The sequence below is a fragment of the Homo sapiens genome, chromosome 5 (genome assembly GCF_000001405.40).
Source record: "Homo sapiens chromosome 5, GRCh38.p14 Primary Assembly".
Taxonomy (NCBI): domain Eukaryota; kingdom Metazoa; phylum Chordata; class Mammalia; order Primates; family Hominidae; genus Homo; species Homo sapiens.
In genome coordinates, this window is record NC_000005.10 from 128,134,474 (window position 1) to 128,154,718 (window position 20,245).

Here is a 20,245-nt window from a genome sequence, read left to right on the forward strand (position 1 = left end):
TAGTTAAACACAGTACTTTGTAAATTTTGAATTTCCCGCCTTCTCGCCCATCCTCCAGTTTTGCAGTATGTAAAAATGCTGAGGTCAGTGTGTTAGTCCAAATTAAACGTTTGGCTTTGTAATTTATTTAAAAGTTCAACTTAGACATGGGGCAGTAAATAAAAGTTATTGCCCACATGAGGTTAGAGAAGTTATTCTTGCTATTGAAATTTCAGAAGTTAGGACTACCAAAGCCAGTATCATTGTTTCTGGAAAAAATTGCTAAAGTCACATGTTACCCATAAGCAGAGCACCCAGAAGTGTTTTTGTCTCTTTGAGAATTAGAGCATCATAGCACAGCTGTAGTTTCCCAAGTAATGGATATCCACAAAGGTGTTTACTTTTGAAGACCTTATAAAAGTCACATATTTGTGCTATATATGATATGATAATGTTTACCAAACCAAAAATTAGGAAAGCCTGAAAGAATAATTTTTTCAATCTTGTTCTTTATTGTAAAGTCATATTAGTGTAAAATTAAATCATTTATTTACACATTTTACAAATTGACTGTATGAAAATAACAGAATTTTATACCACCTGGGACATGATTAGCATGTATGTAGTTCCATTTCCCACAGATGACACCGTTTTTCATGAGTGTTCAGGTTTATTGAGAGGTTGAGAGTGGAGAAGGGGAAATGGTAGTTTTCATAGATTGTTCTTTCCTTCCAATCCCATTGCTACTTGAATTTCCCTCCTGTATATTGTCATCTTCTTTCTGTACTTTTTCTTATTTTCCTGTAGCAATCACACACTCAACATTATGTTTGGACCATGTATAAAACTTGTGTTTGTGTCCAGCATGTTCTCCATGTCAAGATGGTAGTGTTAAGGTGGAAGAGACAGGAATGAATGATCTAGAATGAAAGCCTATATTGTTTTGGAATTTACAGTGCTTTATGGTTTGTGGGAAGGCATGCACATCTTTAACTCATTTCAGAAATATGGCATGATCTCACTTTTACTATCTTTTTTTTCCCCAGATATTTCTTTAAAGATCTCTTTGTTCATTAAACAAGGATTTATTGAGCAGCTGCTTGGCATATGGCATTGTTTAAGGCACTGGGGAATCAGGCAAAACAAGACAGAAATTCTTTCCCTCATGGAAGTTATATTCTAGGGGAATTGAATCAAGATATAGAAACAAGATACTTGATTTTAATTTTTAATGTTTAAAATTGCAGGCTCAGATTGTTCTTTTGGTGATCCTACTTCTTGCTATTGGTGATTTCGTCATAGGAACATTTATCCCACTGGAGAGCAAGAAGCCAAAAGGGTTTTTTGGTTATAAATGTAAGTAAAAAAGATTCAATATTTTTTAAGGGTACCTATTTATAGAATTCTATCATCAATTAAATTTTGTACATTTCAGATATTTTGTAACAGAATTGACTATGGTTTGGTGATTCACCCTAATTTACAATTTAGTTTTGTCCCCTTTATGCTGTACAGTTGGAGTAAAAATTACTTCTATTTACATCTTTTCTTTTTCATTATTAGCAACAAAAGGTGATAGAATATGGAGAAATCAGTGCTGCTAAGAAAAGGAGATTTTATTCTCTACTAGTTTTGGGAATTTGTAACTGAATTTCTAACTTTTGTTCTAATATGACTTTCATTCTTTTAACATATTTAAGCACAACAGTATAAAAGCGCCTAAGATTGTGAAAGCAATTATTGGTATAATTGCATTTTTCAAGAGTGCAGGCCATTTGATTTTTAGGAGATCTCTCCAGTTGGGTTTGTCTTATTTGTTTTTATAGATTCAGGTTATTTATGTTTGTCAGGAACGTAAGTGAACCGTGTCTCCTTCTCAGTCCAGCACATTTGGAGGGTGCATGATGCAGTTTTTTATATTACTTAGTGGTGTTAGTTTTGATGACTTAGTCAAGGTTATACCTGCACAGTTTCTCTATTGTGAAGTTGCTGTTTTTTTCTTTGCAGTTAGTAAGTGATCTGTGGAAGAATACTCTGAGACTGTTCATAGCCCTGTCAAACTTCTACCAAATGGCTTCATCCTTAACCCCTCTCACATCTGGCTTTTGTTGGTTAAAATATGTCAGATGGTGATAGATGCACTATGAATTTTTTGTCCTCTGCTTCATTTCTCTTAGTCATTCCTTCTCCTTCTTGAAACATGTCTATTTTATTCGATGTCAGATACCCTAGGTGCCTAACTCACTGGTCACTATGTCCATTACTCCTGTTACCCCCTTTAAATGCAGAATTTTACAACTATTATAGTGCTGACCTTCTAACTATACACTCTCCCTTGGGTGGTGTGTATTCTCATGGCTCAAAATGCTATTAAGGGACTGACATGTTTCTATTCCTGAATCTCTCCTTTAAAGTCCAAACATAAATATATATCCAACTGATTATTTGAAGTCTCTCCTACTTATTTCTTCTCAGGCTTTTCCATCTAAGCAAGTAGCTGAAACCAGGATCTTAGTGTTTCCCGTCCTACCTGCTCCTCTTAATTTCTAATCCTTTCCTAATCAGTGTATTTATTCTCCCATCTCTAGATTGAACCTCTGCAGCAACCTCCTAATGGGCCTCCCTGTTATCAGATGTTGAATCTTTCAGTCCATTGTCCACACAACATTAATAGTATATGTCATTTGCGTGTTTATGACCCTACTTTGGTTTTCCATTTTATTTAGGATAAATTTAACTTTTATAAAATATTCACACTCTGTTCCTCAGTGGTCACTCCAATTTCATTTAATTTTTCTCCTTACTATAAGAATTTTATCTTCTTTTATTTCCTCAGAAGAGTTAAACCTTTTTCTACTTTGGGGTCTTCATATATGTTGTTTCTCTTTTCTGGTATACTCTTTTTCCCTGATGATCACATGGCTGATTCTTGCTCAGCAAACTCTTAGCTTAAGTATTGTCTCCTTCCTTATATTTGCTTAGCCTTCTGTAACCACATTGAATTAGATTCTCTCTCTCTCTCATTTGTTATTCACAAATCCCTGTTTCCATCAGAACATTTACTGCTGTTTATAATTACCTGTTATTTTGGTCATTTGCTATTGAGACTCTTAAATTCCATGAAGGCAGGAACAATGTCTAACTTGTTTATATTGCATCTCCAAGTACTTTGAGGTGCTAGAAAGCTCTAGTACAGGACCTGACACATAGTAGCTGCTGAAGTATTGAATGGATAGATGGATACATTACAGTTAGTCGGTTATCTTAGAGTCAGAGATGAAAACACTAGGTCTAGTTGAAGCTTTTATTGTTGTTGAAATAGAAAGGAACTTTACTTAGGGTAGCTAATTGTCTGACAGCCTCAAAAATCAATAGGTGACTAGACAGCAGAGAAAGCTGTGGACCAAAATCTATACAGATAGTAAAGTAAGTTGGAAGCTATCAAAAAGTTGATTCTATATTATTATGATGTTGCTTTTGTTTTCCTTTTTTTTTTTTTTCTTGAGATGGGGTCTCACTCTGTCACCCAGGCTGGAGTGCAATGGCATGATCATGGGTCACTGGAGTGTCGACTGTCCAGGCTTAAATGATTCTCTCACCCCAGCCTCCCAAGTAGCTGGGACCACAGGCATGTGCCACCACTCCTGGCTAATTTTTTAATTATTTCTAGAGTCAAGGTCTTCCTTGTGTTGCCCAGGCTGGTCTCAAACTGCTGGGCTCAAGAAATCTGCCTGCTTCGGTCTCCCAACGTGCTGAAATTACAGGCGTGAGGCACCACGCCATGCCCCCTTTTGTTTTTCTACCTCCCTTCTTGCTTCTTTTACCTCAGAGATTGAGGGGATTATCCACATTTTGATTTGCATTTGGGCTAGTCATAACAATTCATTCAGAGGCTCTTGAAACATAATTAGCGAGGTATACAAAAAATGAGACATGAATCAGATCAGATGATCATTTTGATGGTAAACCATTGTCTCATACAAGAAAAGAACACCAAATACTTGAACTGGGAAATATGCAAAAATTTACTCGTTACTTTAACTGAAGAAAAGTTAGGGGTCATGTATACCTATTATTCTTGACCTCAGTTATTATAGTCTAATTTGCTCTCCATTAATTGTCAAGAATATTTTGTTCTCTGCAGCTGAAATATTTAATGAGAACTTTGGGCCCGATTTTCGAGAGGAAGAGACTTTCTTTTCTGTATTTGCCATCTTTTTTCCTGCTGCAACTGGTATTCTGGCTGGAGCAAATATCTCAGGTGATCTTGCAGTAAGTATTATAAAGTGCTATATCAATTATATATTTTAAAAGTGGAATTTGTATATTTATTTTTACAGATAGACTTTAAAAAATCTTCTTGTCTTCTAGGATCCTCAGTCAGCCATACCCAAAGGAACACTCCTAGCCATTTTAATTACTACATTGGTTTACGTAGGAATTGCAGTATCTGTAGGTAAATAGTTTCACATTTCTTTATGTGTCGCAGAAATTTCATGATGTACGTACTATAAATACTTATTTTTATGACATTTGCTAACTTTTTTAAATACAGAAATATTTCAATAAAAAGACATGGAGTTGCTCATTATAATTCAAAAACAGTTTTTAGAAAACTAGTAATGACTTCTATAGACATTATCTAAACCGCCAAATGCTTTATGGTATCTCCAGGATTTTTATTAATTATGGTAAATTAAAAAATTATATGAAATTGCATCTATAAACTCATTCCACTGAGATACTGAAAACAATGTATGTGTAGAAGCAAATGAATTTCACTCTTACAAATTTCTGTATTTTTTTAAGATGGTTATTTATTTTTTTTTTTTACAGTATATGAAGATTCTTTCAAGGCTATTAAGCAATGCTTGGCAATTTTTTACTATAAAAACACTGGTTTTGAAGATTAGGACATACTAAGTTTTACTTAGGAAAAGTTTTACTAAATTCTTAGTAAATTGAATGAAAGTGATTTCAAAACCATGTTATTACTTCATGGGATCATGGATCAACTTCATGGTTACTTCATGGGATCAACTTGAAAGGACTTAAGTGGTCAACCAGTCTCTAATCCTTTTCTTACAGATGAGAGGATAGAAGTTCCGAGATTTCACTACCAAAGATAGTGGCATTTGTTTTAGAGAATTGTTTTCATGGCAAAGAAGGTTTTTTTGTTGTTTGTTTTAAATAAAGTCTTTAAGGCTATTTTCTATGAATTACTATTAGTTTACATATGGTTTGCATTTGTCAAGCTTTACAGTTAAATTTCTTAAGCATAATGCAAAAGTAAATCTTAGTTTAATACTAATGTAAAGAATCATAAACTCCAAGCCCATAGGCTACACAATATGAGGTTTCTATTGGATTTGGTAAGAAAATTTCATTTTTGCTATATATTCACTGATTTGCTGGGAAGTAATAGCAGAATTATATTTATAAACTCTACTATTTGCTTAAATGTAATTTTGAAATTTCACTACATGACAGAAATACTAATAATATCATGGTGAGCTGAATTGCCTTTTTTGCTTGTTTGTTTTTGTTTTTGTTTTTTGTTTTTTGAGACGGAGTCTCACTCTGTTTCCCAGGCTGGAGTGCAGTGGCTCGATCTTGGCTCACTGCAACCTCCGCCTCCCAGATTCAAGCAATTCTCGTGCCTCACCCTCCTGAGTAGCTGGGATTACAGGCACCCACCACTACACCTGGCTAATTTTTGTATTTTTAGTAGAGATGGGGTTTTGCCATGTTGGCCAGGCTGGTCTCAAACTCCTGACCTCAGGTGATCCACCTGCCTTAACCTCCCCAAGTGCTGGGATTACAGGTGTGAGCCACCGCGCCCAGCCTGAATTGGCATTTACAGAGGAATTTGGATTTCATTTATCCTTAGAATTCACACACAAATCTCTGAAATTTATTTTGAAAACACGGATGAATATATATGCCTAGCAAAATATATGGGTTCCCCTAAAAGTTCCTAGCATGCTTCTATACATTATTGCTAAAGAAAATTTAGGCATAAAGTGACATAATTGATTATGTTTTAACTTGTAAAATAGTTTGTTACAGCAAATATTTTCTATTTTTATTTTACCGTCTAACATTGCTGGCCCTCATGCTCATTTCATTCTGTCTGCATTAGCCCTTGGAGCAATAGGGGTAACCCCTTGATGCTGATGTTCAGTAGCTAGGCCAGTAAAGGCAGCCTCTACACCAGTGGTTGTTAAGCTCAAAGAAGTGGAACCTTCCCCCCCCAAAAAATTTCAGGCATAGACTATCAGAATACAAAGCACATGAAAGTATAGTTACTTTAGGGCTGGGGGGATTTGCAAGGCTCTATTCTCCCCCCATTCCCCAGTTGTTTCAGAGGTACCTTTATGGAAACATGGTTTTGCAAGGACTGCTCTGAATGGTAGATGAAAAAATTGAAAAACAAAGAACTGTATAGTCTGCCTAGTCATTAAAATATCCTCCCTTCTCATACTTAGTTCTGTTTATTCAATTTTTGCTGTCATGCATGTAATTTTTACCTCAATATATGATGAAATAATACTGAAAAAGTGCTTCAGAAAGTAAAAATCTTTAAAGTATAAGGAATGGTAATTACCATTAGTTGTGCATTACACGTTACTCTGAATAATAAATTGCTTGTTTCAAGGTCACTTTTAAAATATTTTATTATGGAAGTTTTCAATTTTATGGAAAAGTAGGGAGGATTTTCAAATTAGCTCAATAATTATTACCCAGCTTCAAAAAAGTTAGCAAAAATATTAGTACATGGTTAATCTTGTTTCATCTATACCCAAGTCACTCTGCTCTATGGGTTCTTTTTAAGCAAATCTTAGATACCATGTGTTTTCTTCTTTTTAGGATAATCATATTTGAGACAGAGATTTAAATATAATTATAATTCATTAACATTCAAATTATTTTCCCTCACAGAAGAGTGGTATTACCTGAAGTCTGATTTTTAGCCACATTCAAGTATAAAATATTTGGAGTATAGGAAAACATCACTGCCATTTGGAACTCTTTCAGTACAGTGTTTTCATATTTACTTAAGGACATCTTAACCAAATAGGCTAGGAAATAGTTTGCTAGTATACCATTTTCCACAACTCTTTACATGGTTTTTAAGTGTTTATGTGTAAATACTATTCTTTATAAAAGGTTCAGTTTCATCACATATTGGGGACCATGATGCTTTACAAATTCTGTTCAAGGTAAAGTCTTAATTGTAAATGCAATGTATGCTATTATAAGGGAGTAGATATGTAGTCACTACTTTGGTTTCTTTATAAATATATATATGTATATAAAATTCTGAAATGAATGTAGATATTAACTATATTATTCTTGTTGTCACTTGTGCTTTAGGTTCTTGTGTTGTTCGAGATGCCACTGGAAACGTTAATGACACTATCGTAACAGAGCTAACAAACTGTACTTCTGCAGCCTGCAAATTAAACTTTGATTTTTCATCTTGTGAAAGCAGTCCTTGTTCCTATGGCCTAATGAACAACTTCCAGGTGAGCATTGACTTTGTAATATACAGACATTCTGTATTTATCTAGGGGTGAGACTACTATCAAATATGACCATTCAGAATATAGCTGTAACATAGAAGGGAGGACAGTTGTTATTTTTTTTAATTTTTAATTTTTTCTTGAGATAGAGTCTCACTCTGTCGCCCAGGCTGTAGTGCGGTGGTGCTATCTTGGCTTGCTGCAAGCTCCGCCTCCTAGGTTCAAATGATTCTCTTGCCCCAATCTCCCGCGTAGCTGGGACTATAGGCGCCAGCCACCACACCCGGCTAATTTTTGTATTTTTAGTAAGGATGGGGTTTTACCATGTTGGTTAGGCTGGTCTCGAACTCCTGACGTCAAGTGATCCACCTGCATGGGCCTCCCAAAGTGCTGGGATGGCAGGTGTGAGCCACTGCGTCTGGCCAGTTGTTCTGTATATCCCCTAAAACTGTAAATATCTAATTGGACAAACTAAAATATGAATGGATAAAATCTGAGGATGTTCAAGAGCAAAGAGCCCCTAGGAGGTAATGCTTTTATAACAGCATGTAATATATATATATATATTAGTGTGTGTGTTTTTATATATGTAATATGTAAGTGTACTGTTTTAGAAAGCATGGAATCATCTTGCACATGGTCATATTTGTATGGGTCTGTTTTTGGATTCTTGATTCTGTTCTGTTGATCTTCGTGTCTGTCCTTGTGCCAGTACCACACATTCCTAATTACTGTAGTTAAATGATAAGTTTTGAGGTCAGGTAGATTAATTCCTCCCATTTTAGCCTTTCTAAAAAAATTGTTCTAGCTATTTTAGTTCCTTGGTCTTTCCATATAAAAATTTAAAATAACCTTATGTGTGTGTGTGTTTTAATTAATTAATTTACTTTTTAATATATTTTCACTTCAGTAGTTTTTGGGGTACATGTGGTTTCTGGTTACATGGATGAATTGTGTTGTGGTGGAGTCTGAGATTTTGGTGCCCCTATCACCCAAGCACCTTACGTTTATTTTTAAAAAGTCTTGGGATTTTGATAGGAATTACGTTAAACTGGTATATCAGTTTGGAGAGAATTGACTTTGTTGAGTGTTCAATTCATAAATATCATCTCTCCATTTATTTGTATTTTCTTTGATTTTCTTTCAGTCAGCATTTTGTAGTTTTCAGCATATACGTCCTGTATGTATTTTGTTAGATTTACGAGTAAGTATTTTTATTTTGCTCAATTTAAACCCATACCAATTAAGTTCAGTTTTCTAATTAGTGTTGTCTTCATAATTGCTTTATTTATAAATGGCCTTTAAAAAAGCATTGATCAGTATCAATAGTAGTGTTACTTTATTAGATATGGCTCATATAAAGTCATGCAGCATGAAATCACCATTTAACATTTAACAACAGAATTTAATTCTGAATGGATACTAGAAAGCTAGTGAATTTCTAAAACATACAAACTAGACAGGTTAGTAGTACTTCTCCAGTATTTGGAGGCTGTCAGTTTCTGCTGTTTATTGTTACCTCTATTAAGGTACTGAAAATGAAATGAAGTTTTAGTCTGCCAGATTTATGAGTTTTTAGAAACTGAAAAAAGATTATATAAGGGGAAAATAAATTACTAAAATTAATTTGGAGGATAATTTTGAGTTGTTTGTTAAGTCCTAGGATGGTAGAAAGAACACAAAGGTGTAGATTCAGGAGATTAAATCAAAATATTCTATTGTAAATTTATAGAGTACATGGTTCTGCTGATTTCAAAAGAAAAATAAAAATTTTGCTTTGTAATTTTTTTCAGTATTGTATAAACAGAATAATTTGTATTTTAATGTATTTAAAATTATGTGTTTTATGTACAATCTGTAAGTTTTACAATACAATTTTTAACTAAAATTTGTAAAGGCATTGTTTTTATTATAAATAAAATTATTTATAATAAAATTATTTATTATAAATATAATAAAATTATGTAGTTTTAAGCAACTGACTGTACTTTCAGTGGTTACAAATATTGAACCCAATTATGTAATAGAAGTTTGTGTTTTCTAGTCATAAGACTAGGCAAAATTGTAGGAATGAAAGAAAGTATTCATGTCCAGCTAATGATTCAGGCCAATTCTGACATTGATACTGTGTATGGAAGGCACAAACATTGGTCTTTGCCCAGTGACTGAAAATGCCAGTCAGATTTCTGTGTGGCCTTAAGATAGAAAAGTTTGTTGTCTTTATCAAGTTTAGTTATGGACTCATTCGAGCAAAGAGGAATTTGGTATAAGTAAAGCTGCTTTTCTTATTTAAAGGAAGTAAACTTTTCAAAAATACTTTGTAAAGCGATACAACATGAGGGAAAATCTTGTGAAAATATAAATACCTTGGCATTTGGAGAGTGAAGAATGGTGGATAGGACATAAATGAGGAGTATGTAAGTTGGAGTCTCCATCATAAGATCTATACAAGCCATACTTTATAATCATCTTTTCAGACTTCAGGGAATAAAGTTATTTAGGTTATCTTCTTGCTCTTAAATTTTAAATTGTGTATATAGTCTTATATTGCTTGCTATATTTCTACATTTTAATGTCCTCTAAAACCTTTGACTCACTGTTGCCTAATAAACAAAATGCAATCTTTAGTCTAAATCAGTCAGAGCCCTTCATACCTCTTCTTAAGCCTCACTGCCTTCTGTTCCGAGTGGACTCCAGGCACTGAGTGTGTTTGTACACACACACATGCATACCCTACTCTTTTGCTTTAGTCATTGCTTCACTCTGCTTGGAATGCACCTGTGGTTTATTTTCCCATGTCCAAATGTGCCTGACTTCAAGGCCACTTAGTTCTGTGAAGATTTTCTTGAATCCCAAATCATCTTCAACACACACCCCCACACAGACTTTTACCATTCATTTTATTTACTTGCTATCTTTTAGCTTTTATTAGACTTTTGTCTTTTTTTCCCCTTTAGAGACAAGACAGTCTTTTTTTCATCTTTGTTTCCACTGTATATTGTTGACACTAATATCATTATTTACATTGAATATCATTATCCTTGCTGCTGATATTTTACCATTAAATGTTGAGAAGTGCAGAGGTTACTGGATAACTGTTCAACTATTTAATAGAAAACAGAAAACCTATTATAGCAGGCCCCAAAACATAGTATTTCCAGATGAAAAGCCTGGATCATTATTTACTTCAATTTATAACTGATGGAAGAAGGGAAAATGTATTGTTTCCTCAACATGGAAGAGGAAAGGTTATAGTAATGCTGGTGGTGTCAGTTTTGCCTTACTCCTACAATGCAGAATGTATCATATACTCTGTTCTCTACTTTCGTCCACTTATCTCTTTCTTTGTACTTAATTTAACTTTGAGATCATTAAGACAGATGTAGAATTTTGTATGATCTAATGAGGCTGTATAGCAGAAATTGGGTTTATTCATTTTAATCTTGACTCATCTGTCCTTTACAATCTCCTTCCCTAAAGATAAGGTTGTCAGTTCTAAATAATCCAGCATTAATTACCATGAAAAATAGTGATTATGAAAAATGCACAGCATATATGTAACTACTAAATTGTTATTAAAGGGCTGAGTAGAAAATAATCTTTTCAGATTTTCTCCCCACTCTTAGAAGTCTGCTACTGTCTTTAAAACACTTCAGAGATGTATTCTTCATATTTAACCTTAAATCTAATGGAAGATCTAGGGAAAGATGTTTAGTCAACAGGGTGGTTTATGTGTACATGAAATCAGACTTATGCATTGTGGACAGGGATTGTACCCGTTGCTAACTTTCCATTTTGTTTAAACAATTAAATTTTACAGTAAAGTGTGTGATAGAAACAGCTTAAAACCTGATTTCCTTATCTCTTTGGTCTCAGTTGACATGTTCTTAGTCAATATAAATGAAAGATAAAATCTCCACCAATGAAGCAGAGAATCTAGGTGATGATCACCATTCACTGCTGGGAGATTTATAATACCATTCACAGCTGTTCAAGTTGACAATAGTTGAATCCACTAAACAACTCCTCCACTTTAATTTTGTGTTTTGACAAGTTTCACAGATTCAGAAGTACACAGTGAATACCTGTGTACTTATCCTTCAGTTATATTTACTAGTTTATATTTTACCCTATTTGCTTTGTGTGTGTATATATATAGTCTTTTTCTCCTCAAATAAGTTATAGACATCATGACACGACGATCATTTTGAAGTATTTAATGCATTTTGTGTAAGCACAATATGGTTATCCTACTTAAGAAATTAAACACTGATGAAATACTGTTATTTAAATATACATCCTATGTTCATATTTCTCCACTTGTCCCAGTAATGTCTTTTATAGCTATTTTTTCTAAGTCCAGGATTGATCTAGGGTCACACATGGCATTTAGTTATAGTGTCATTTTAAAATCATTTAATCTAGGGGAGTTTCTAGCCCACATTAATCTTCATGACATTGACATTTTCAACATTTGAACCAGGTTGTTTTTGAATTATGCCTCTCAGTTTGAATTCACCTGAATTCATGATCTTAGTGATCAATCCTATGTTGTTGGTGTTTTTTTTTTTTTTAAGTCTTCTAAGAGGAAATGTTTGAACATGTACACAGAGAAAGCAATATAATATACCTAGTATCTACATTACCCAGCTTTATCAGTTATCAATGCATGGTTAATTTTGTTTCATGTGTAACTCTTCCTATCCCAGATTATTTAGAGCAAAACCCTAGACTTTATATCATATCTTTTCGCTGGAAATATTTCCACATTTAGCTCTAGAAGATAAAAGGTTAGAAAAAAATAACCACAATACTATCTTAACATAAGAAACAGCCTTCCTAATAGAAGTACATGATGGCACTTACACAGTATTCTTGCCAAAACTTGTACCTCATTTTGATTAACTGTCTAGATAGAACCAGTTTACTAGAATTATAGAAATGAGAAGAGGTTAAGCAATACAATGATGATGAAGTCAGAAAAATCCAGAGTATGAGATCTCCATGGGAGAAATGATAGAAAAATAATAAAAGGAAAAGGAAATGTGAACCTGTTGATTGAAAAAGACTGAAGAGACGCATAAACCAAATATAATGTGTAACCTTTTTTTTTTTTTTTTTGGATCCTGATTTGAACAGACTATTTTTAAAAGATAAGAAAGGACAATTTAGGGAATTTGAATGCTGACTTGCCTTTTTTGTGGTACTGTTAAGCAATTATTAAGTTTCTAAGCTGCGACAGTGGCATTGTAGTTAAGTTTTCAAAAGTCCTTACCTGTTAGAGATACGTACTGACATATTTATGTGCTAAAGGATATCTGGGACTTGTTTCAAAATATTGTGGGGAATAGCCCTAAGTTGATCATTGTTGAAATTAGGTGATGGATGTTAGCAGTTCATTACACTCTTCTCTCTGCCATTGTGTGTGTTTAACATTTTACGAATGAAAAGGTTTTCTTAAGGTAAGGGCTAGTGGTAAATAAATTTGTTTCAGATATTTGTAATGCACATAGCGTTGTTGTTATTATTATTATAAAATGATCCCTAGTGTTAACCTCCTTCAAGATGTGACCACATAATATTGTGTTATTTTCTGAATTGTTTGTGAGATTTATTTTTCCATTTTTGTCACTTTTATTTAAGGTAATGAGTATGGTGTCAGGATTTACACCACTAATTTCTGCAGGTATATTTTCAGCCACTCTTTCTTCAGCATTAGCATCCCTAGTGAGTGCTCCCAAAATATTTCAGGTAAGTGTTTTTATATTACAGGCTTTATTAAAGGGAGAGTTAAAGTAATACTTCTCAATTTAGAATTGTTGCTATTTTCAAATTATTTGCTTCTATCAACCATATATACATATATATGATATATATATGCACATAAAGATATACATAGTTAATTTTATATGTGTGAATGAATGTGAATGTTTATATAAATATTTGTGCATTTGCTGTTAAGGTATATTCTTTGAGTCTTTTTAGAAGTGCTGATGGATTTTTGCTTTTTTGACATTTTTAGCATACATTTTCAAGATGTTTAAGGTATAGGAGTGCAGTCTAAGACTGAAAATAGGAAGTAGTAAAATATCTTTGTTCTAGTCAGTATGATATCAACCTAAATATTTTATTTTACAAATATTTAAACACCTAACGTGATATACACATTGTGTTCATTACTTAAGGGTATGATGATGTATAGGATAGACATTATCTCCTTTTAGTGAACATTAAACAGCTGAATACTGATGGGAAGTACTTTTTATTGGTAAATCAAATAAATGAATGTTGATTCTGCAGTCTTGTTCTTAATGCTGTATTTATAGCCAGTGAGTACAGTAAAGGTAGAAAATATCATTTAAGACAGACTTTAGTAATGTTTTAAGAAAGGTAGTTAAGTGTTATAATCAAGATTTTTATCTGCTTTAAGATTTCAGCTTGTTTTTCTTAAAATAGGTCACAACTATGTCATATTTATCAAGCTTCCAACTTTGTTTTTACTTGTATGCCTGCTTCTGTGATTTCTTCTTCATAAAATTTAATTTCAACATGGGGATAGGGTAAGGCAGATAGAAGTTTTGACCAGTATCCTTCTGATGTTTGAAATGCTTGAATTTCCTTTACATTTTGTAGGTGAAGCAGTATCTGGGACAGGATAAAAGAGATGACCAAGAATTAGAAACTTGAATCTCATTCCTGATTAACCTATTAGAACTATCAGCAAATCTGCATGTCTAATTTTAATATGTTTCATTTTAATGTTTTCTTTCATTAGGCTCTATGTAAGGACAACATCTACCCAGCTTTCCAGATGTTTGCTAAAGGTTATGGGAAAAATAATGAACCTCTTCGTGGCTACATCTTAACATTCTTAATTGCACTTGGATTCATCTTAATTGGTTAGTTATATAAATGGTGTGTTATTGTAGATTTTTGGTGCATATTAGTTCTAGACGTTGAATTATTAAATTATTAACAATGTTATCTTGGTATACTAAGTTTCTTTGTAATCAAAGAAAGTTTATAAAGTACTGTAAGTAATAGCATGAGTACATATTTGCTGAAATTATTGCCATTACTAAGTCCTCATTAGAGCTAAAGAGAATTCCTAGGCTCTTTTTCCTAAAACAAATATGATAATGGCATAAGGGAAAGGATTCTAGTGTCCCCTGTGACATCAGTGCCTTTGATGATCTATTTTTTTGGCACTCTGCCTCTGATCATAAGTGAGCTCTGTTGGGTCTTCCACTACTAAAGATGACATTGGACTTTTTAAGGTTTAAAGAATTTTGTCTAACCCCTGAGACTAGTTGACATTAAAAGGCTGATGTACCACAAGTGTTGTGGGACTATGTGGAAACTAATTCTCATGTGATGCTGTTAGATGTGTATTTGGTGTAGCCACTTGTGGAGAACAAGTGGGCAATATCTCGTAAACTTTTCTGTGATCAAGAGTTTTCCTTCTAGGTATGTACCCTATAGAAACTTGTATATATACTTAAAGAGCCATATACAATAATGTTTCTAGTATTATTCATTATAGTGAAAAACGAAAGCCACCTAGATCAATAGAAGAATAATATGCAGCAGTTAAAAAAAGGAATAAACTTGGTTTTCATTTATCAATATGGATGAATTTCAAAAATAAATGTAAAAGATCAAATTTCAGAATGATACATATGGTATGCTATTTATGTAACTTTTAAAACACCCAAAACAGTACTATTATGATGCATATAGACGATACATGTCATAAAACTATATAATATGACTGGACAGAATATACCAAGTTTGGAGATGTGTGAGATAAAGTATAAAGGGGATTCAATGGTTTGCACAGGACTGGATTTCTGAAAAGTAAAGTATATGAGGCATATATGGCAAACTCTAAATGTTTATGAAAGCTGGATGGTGGTTATGGGGTGTTACGTTGTTATCTAAAGATTTGAAATACTTCATAATTTTAAAAAGTTAAATGTCTAATACGTCAGTAAATCTCGCATGTGTTTGTTCTGCAGCTGAACTGAATGTTATTGCACCAATTATCTCAAACTTCTTCCTTGCATCATATGCATTGATCAATTTTTCAGTATTCCATGCATCACTTGCAAAATCTCCAGGTAATTTTACATTTTTAAAAAAGTTTGTAAATATCATTTTTGATTGCAAAGAAAATAAAACTTTTGCCACATTTTCAAAGATGTTATGTGTGGGGTTAGTTCATTAATGCCAAGTCTGTCTTTACAGTTAATTCAAATTAAGCTTTCAAAGATCTCTTTATCAGTAAGTTTACTGATAATATTGTTTCTTATCTTCAAAGCATTTGATAGGATTAATCTCTAATTCTGATAACACTGAAAAATTGTTACTTTTTAAAAAAACTAGTTTTTCAGTCTTTAGCTGATTTCTATTTTAGTTCTAAGAACATCATTATGATATAGTTTACCTGTAAGAAAATGGTTTTAACACGATGAGTTCTGTAAAATTCTGAAAAGGAATTTTAAAATTTTAATTTTAAAAAAGGAACAAAAGCATTGTTCCTTTTAAAGATTTGAAAGTCTGAGAACAGGGAACATATAAAGTATGAGAACTTTGGACACAAACATTCTAACATCAGGTTTTTACTTTAAATGTATAAATTCTATTGAAATTATTTTTTTAAAATAATTTTGGCTTTGGAACTACCTACCAATGAAAATTGAAAAACATGGTCTTCAACATTTTTTAAAGTGGGCTTCCTTCATAAATACTTCACTAAATGGGAAGATATGTGTTTCTGTAGTCAGCTCTTAGTTTTTCTAGCAAGTTGATTATGTTTTTAATGATTTTTATGAACATTTTGTTTGAAATGTTTTATATATTCATTAGACTATGGATATGGGTCATCCTAGAACCAGAAAATAAAGCCTAGTTACTACTAAGGATTCAATTTGAAACCTTTCTCTTTAAAACCTTCTATACTTTTTAACATTCACCTAAGGTAGGTTGATTTTTTTTTTATGAAGAGTTTATTGAATACAGAACTAGTCAAATACAGTAATGTGGAAATAGATGTTACCTTTTCATAGCCATCAAGAATTGTCAAATTCAATTGTGATCAATAATAGTCTTTGACTTTACTATTCAATATTAGACTTATACTTAATGCTTAAAGTCCTCTCAGTGTGGCAACCATAAAGAATGTTATTTTTTGAATACATATGTACCATTGTGTAAAGCAGATGAGGTATTTGTGTGACTTTTATTTATTTGTTATTGTTAGGATGGCGTCCTGCATTCAAATACTACAACATGTGGATATCACTTCTTGGAGCAATTCTTTGTTGCATAGTAATGTTCGTCATTAACTGGTGGGCTGCATTGCTAACATATGTGATAGTCCTTGGGCTGTATATTTATGTTACCTACAAAAAACCAGGTCAGTAGCCTTTTTTGTTTATATCCCAAGCTAGAAAACATCTAGAAGCTAGAAAACATCTAGAAGTTCTTTGTTATTTTTCATTTTAAGCATCATCTTTTGTATATTTGAAAGCTACTTTGTATAAAACCTAAAATACTTTATTTCCAAACTCCTAAAGTTTTTTTTTTTTCAAATACATGTAGTTTTAATAAAACAGTTACTTTGAGATTTTTTATTCTGGTTTCCATTCTCACTCATAAATTAAATTGATCCTATTTGTAGAAAAAGAATAAATTCATGTAATTAACATTTTGCTGCACTCGGTATATTTTTAAATTATTTTTTGAAAGGATCCAGTTACAGTACTGTAGTAGCTGTATAGCCTAATAAGCTAGGCTATTTATACATATAACCTACTGTGGTCCTTGAACTGGAGTGAGTACCATGGAGTTAACAAAATACTAGAAGACATAGTATCTTTCCCACTAGGTTACTGTGTAGCAGGGGAAATTGGACAAACTTGTTTTAACTGAGTAATGATTAATGATTTCCTAGTATGTCGTATTGATAACAGCTAAACGTATCTCCAGGTAAGATGATGATGCTGGAGTATGTTAGGATTGGTCCCGGTATTGAGCATTATAACCCGTGACACATGAAAGACCTGATGAGAAAGGCTTCATCTGGGCTCAATAGAATAGACTGGGAAGAGATTACAAGAGTAGTTTCAATATAGTAGTTTTAAACAGTAAGAACACATTTTGTAATCCAGATATGAAATAATGAGCTTTTAGATTAAAGTGGTAGCTCCAGAAATGAAATAAAACATTTTAGAATCAGTTATTTCTCTAACATACCTATCAAGTCTATAAATTAACAAATGTCTAAAATCATTTGAAGTCCAAGTTGTTTATTCAATAAGAAATAAAATTGTCCTGTTCAAATAACCCAAACAGTTAAGTACTATAAATAAGTATTTCTTAACAATTAGAAATTTGCTCATTTCCATTTAGACCTTTGGCTATATACAAACAATAATTTTAACATATTTATTTGTGAAAGACTCTTTCAGAGTTGTATGCACAGCATGTCTGCAGCCCTGTCATCTCAATCTTTTCTAAGTAATACTTTTTCTTTAAATGAATTATAGTTCAGATTATCAGTCTTAATATCTTGCTGTATATGTGAACTATTGAAAGTACAATAGTGTATTTCAGCAATTGACTTTTTAAATGTGAAAGCATGTTTAATTCTCTATGCCTCAGATTGGCTATTGATTGGTTGTTATTACTGATGTTAATGCTGCATGAACATTATCTTCCCACAGATGTGAATTGGGGATCCTCTACACAAGCCCTGACTTACCTGAATGCACTGCAGCATTCAATTCGTCTTTCTGGAGTGGAAGACCACGTGAAAAACTTTAGGTAAGTGATAAAGAAGGAAACATGGAAGCATTTTCTCTTTGCTGGCCAGTCAGTTCTTATTTTTCATTGACATTTTCATGTACATTTCACATTTTTAATCGGTCTTGGGCAGTTTAATTATTCAAGAACAAAATTGTACAAAGAAAAATTAATATCTACCTTAAAAAATGTTATGAGGGTTTTGGAGGTTTCTCACTTGAAGACTTTTAAATGATGGGTATGATAAAGTCAAAGTTTGATTTTCTCCATGTTCATTAAAGTTACGTAACTGTGTAAGTATGAGATTCATAAAGATTTTTTGACATGCGTTATTTTGTAACATTACTGACACACTAAAATTGTTAGTTGTGTCTTAATTAGTGATTAACTGGAAGCAACTTATAGTGACAAAGAATCAGTGCTTATACTAAAGAGCATTTATTACTATTTTCCTCAATAAATGACTTTAAGAATATATTATCTTTTTTGGCTGGGCACGGTGGCTCACGCCTGTAATCCCAGCACTTTGGGACGCCAAGGCTGGGGGATCAGTTGAGGTCAGGAGTTTGAGACCAGCCTGGCCAACATGGTGAAACCTTGTCTCTACTAAAAATACAAAAATTAGCCAGGCGTAGTGGCGCATGCCTGTAGTCCCAGCTACTTGGGAGGCTGAGGCAGGAGAATGGCTCGAACCCAGGAGGCGGAGGTTGCAGTGAGCCAAGATCATGCCACTGCACTCCAGCCTAGGCAACAGAGCGAGACTCCATCTCAAAAAACAAAAAAAGAATATATTATCTTTCTAATAGTTTATTAACCATCGGTATAAACTTTCTTTAGTCATGAGTAATCCCTCCTTATTGGCTTCTGCATGATAAACACAAATCTTTTCCATGTTTATTAGTAAACCAAAAGGGAAAATAATGTTTTTAAAGAAACCCTGAAACGTAGATAAATGTCAAAAGAGAATTGCTCTACCCAGTCTCTCTCTCAGTAAGAAAAGTAATTGTTTATTTTTTTGTTACTCTTTTGAATTCCCCCCTTCCTTTTTGCTAGACTAAAAAGGTCTGAGAGACCACACGCAGGTCTTCAGCTTTAGGGTAGACAGAAATGGAGAAGAAGGAATGAGAGCCCTGGGAGGAAAACTTTTCACTTCAGCATATTTTGGATAGTGATGTCAAGGATGACAGAAAATAGAAATTATTATTTTATGTAAAAAGTTGTATCCTAGAACTGAGAGTATGACCAAAAGCCTATGTTTATTTGCCGTCAATTAAAAAAAAAAACAAAAAAAAAAAACCTCTTGCTTTGGCTCATTGTAGTAAAGCCAACATTAAAAAAAATTTATTTTTGGGCATGTTGGTGCATGCCTGCAATCCCATCACTTTGGGAGGCTGAGGCGGGAGGATCACTTGAGCCTAGGAGTTGGAGACCAGCAGTTTGAGACCAGGCTAGGCAACATAGTGAGATCTTGTCTTTACCAAAAATTTACAAAATAGCCAAGTATGATGGTGCATACCTGTGGTCGGGAGACTGAGGCTGGAGGACTGCTAGAGCCAAGGAGTGTCTAGGCTATAGTGAGCCATGATTGTACCACTACATGCTAGCCTGGGCAACAGCGAGACCCTGTCTCAAAAAAAAAAAAAAGTTATCCCAGTTTGGCTTTTTAATTTTTATTAGAATTATACGTGAGTATTGTGTAAAGAGGAAAAGCTAGTCTGCAAGGTTTGTCATGAAAATCAATAGTTGCCTGCTCCTCATATCCCTCTTTCTCTCACAACTACAGGTAACCATGTTATTTACTTCATAAATAGCATGCTTGTCTTGCTGCAGAGTAGTCCCCTGTTATCCACAGGGGTTGTGTTCCAGGACCCTCGGTGGATAGCTGGAACTGCAGAGAGTACTGAATTTGATTGTCATGAGTCAGAACACCTTTT

General features: G+C 33.4%; 1 protein-coding gene across 6 annotated transcripts in view; it reads left to right on the plus strand.

The window, feature by feature from the left end:
• Positions 1 to 20,245, plus strand: part of SLC12A2 (solute carrier family 12 member 2) — a 105,912-nt gene that overhangs the window by 50,708 nt on the left and 34,959 nt on the right. For 4 of the 6 annotated variants that reach the window (NR_046207.2, NM_001046.3, NM_001256461.2 and 1 more), the window contains exons 7-15: positions 1,227 to 1,335; positions 4,124 to 4,251; positions 4,351 to 4,435; positions 7,357 to 7,508; positions 13,149 to 13,256; positions 14,281 to 14,404; positions 15,524 to 15,625; positions 16,768 to 16,923; positions 18,233 to 18,332. Coding sequence is in view for 5 of the 6 variants with exons in the window: in NM_001046.3 (NP_001037.1) it covers positions 1,227 to 1,335; positions 4,124 to 4,251; positions 4,351 to 4,435; positions 7,357 to 7,508; positions 13,149 to 13,256; positions 14,281 to 14,404; positions 15,524 to 15,625; positions 16,768 to 16,923; positions 18,233 to 18,332 (1,064 nt within the window). In the remaining variant the exon portion in view is untranslated. Of the gene's footprint in view, positions 1 to 1,226; positions 1,336 to 4,123; positions 4,252 to 4,350; positions 4,436 to 7,356; positions 7,509 to 8,652; positions 9,484 to 13,148; positions 13,257 to 14,280; positions 14,405 to 15,523; positions 15,626 to 16,767; positions 16,924 to 18,232; positions 18,333 to 20,245 lie in introns of those variants that run through there. The other 2 variants (XM_011543588.3, XM_047417592.1) reach the window with 2 other exon arrangements.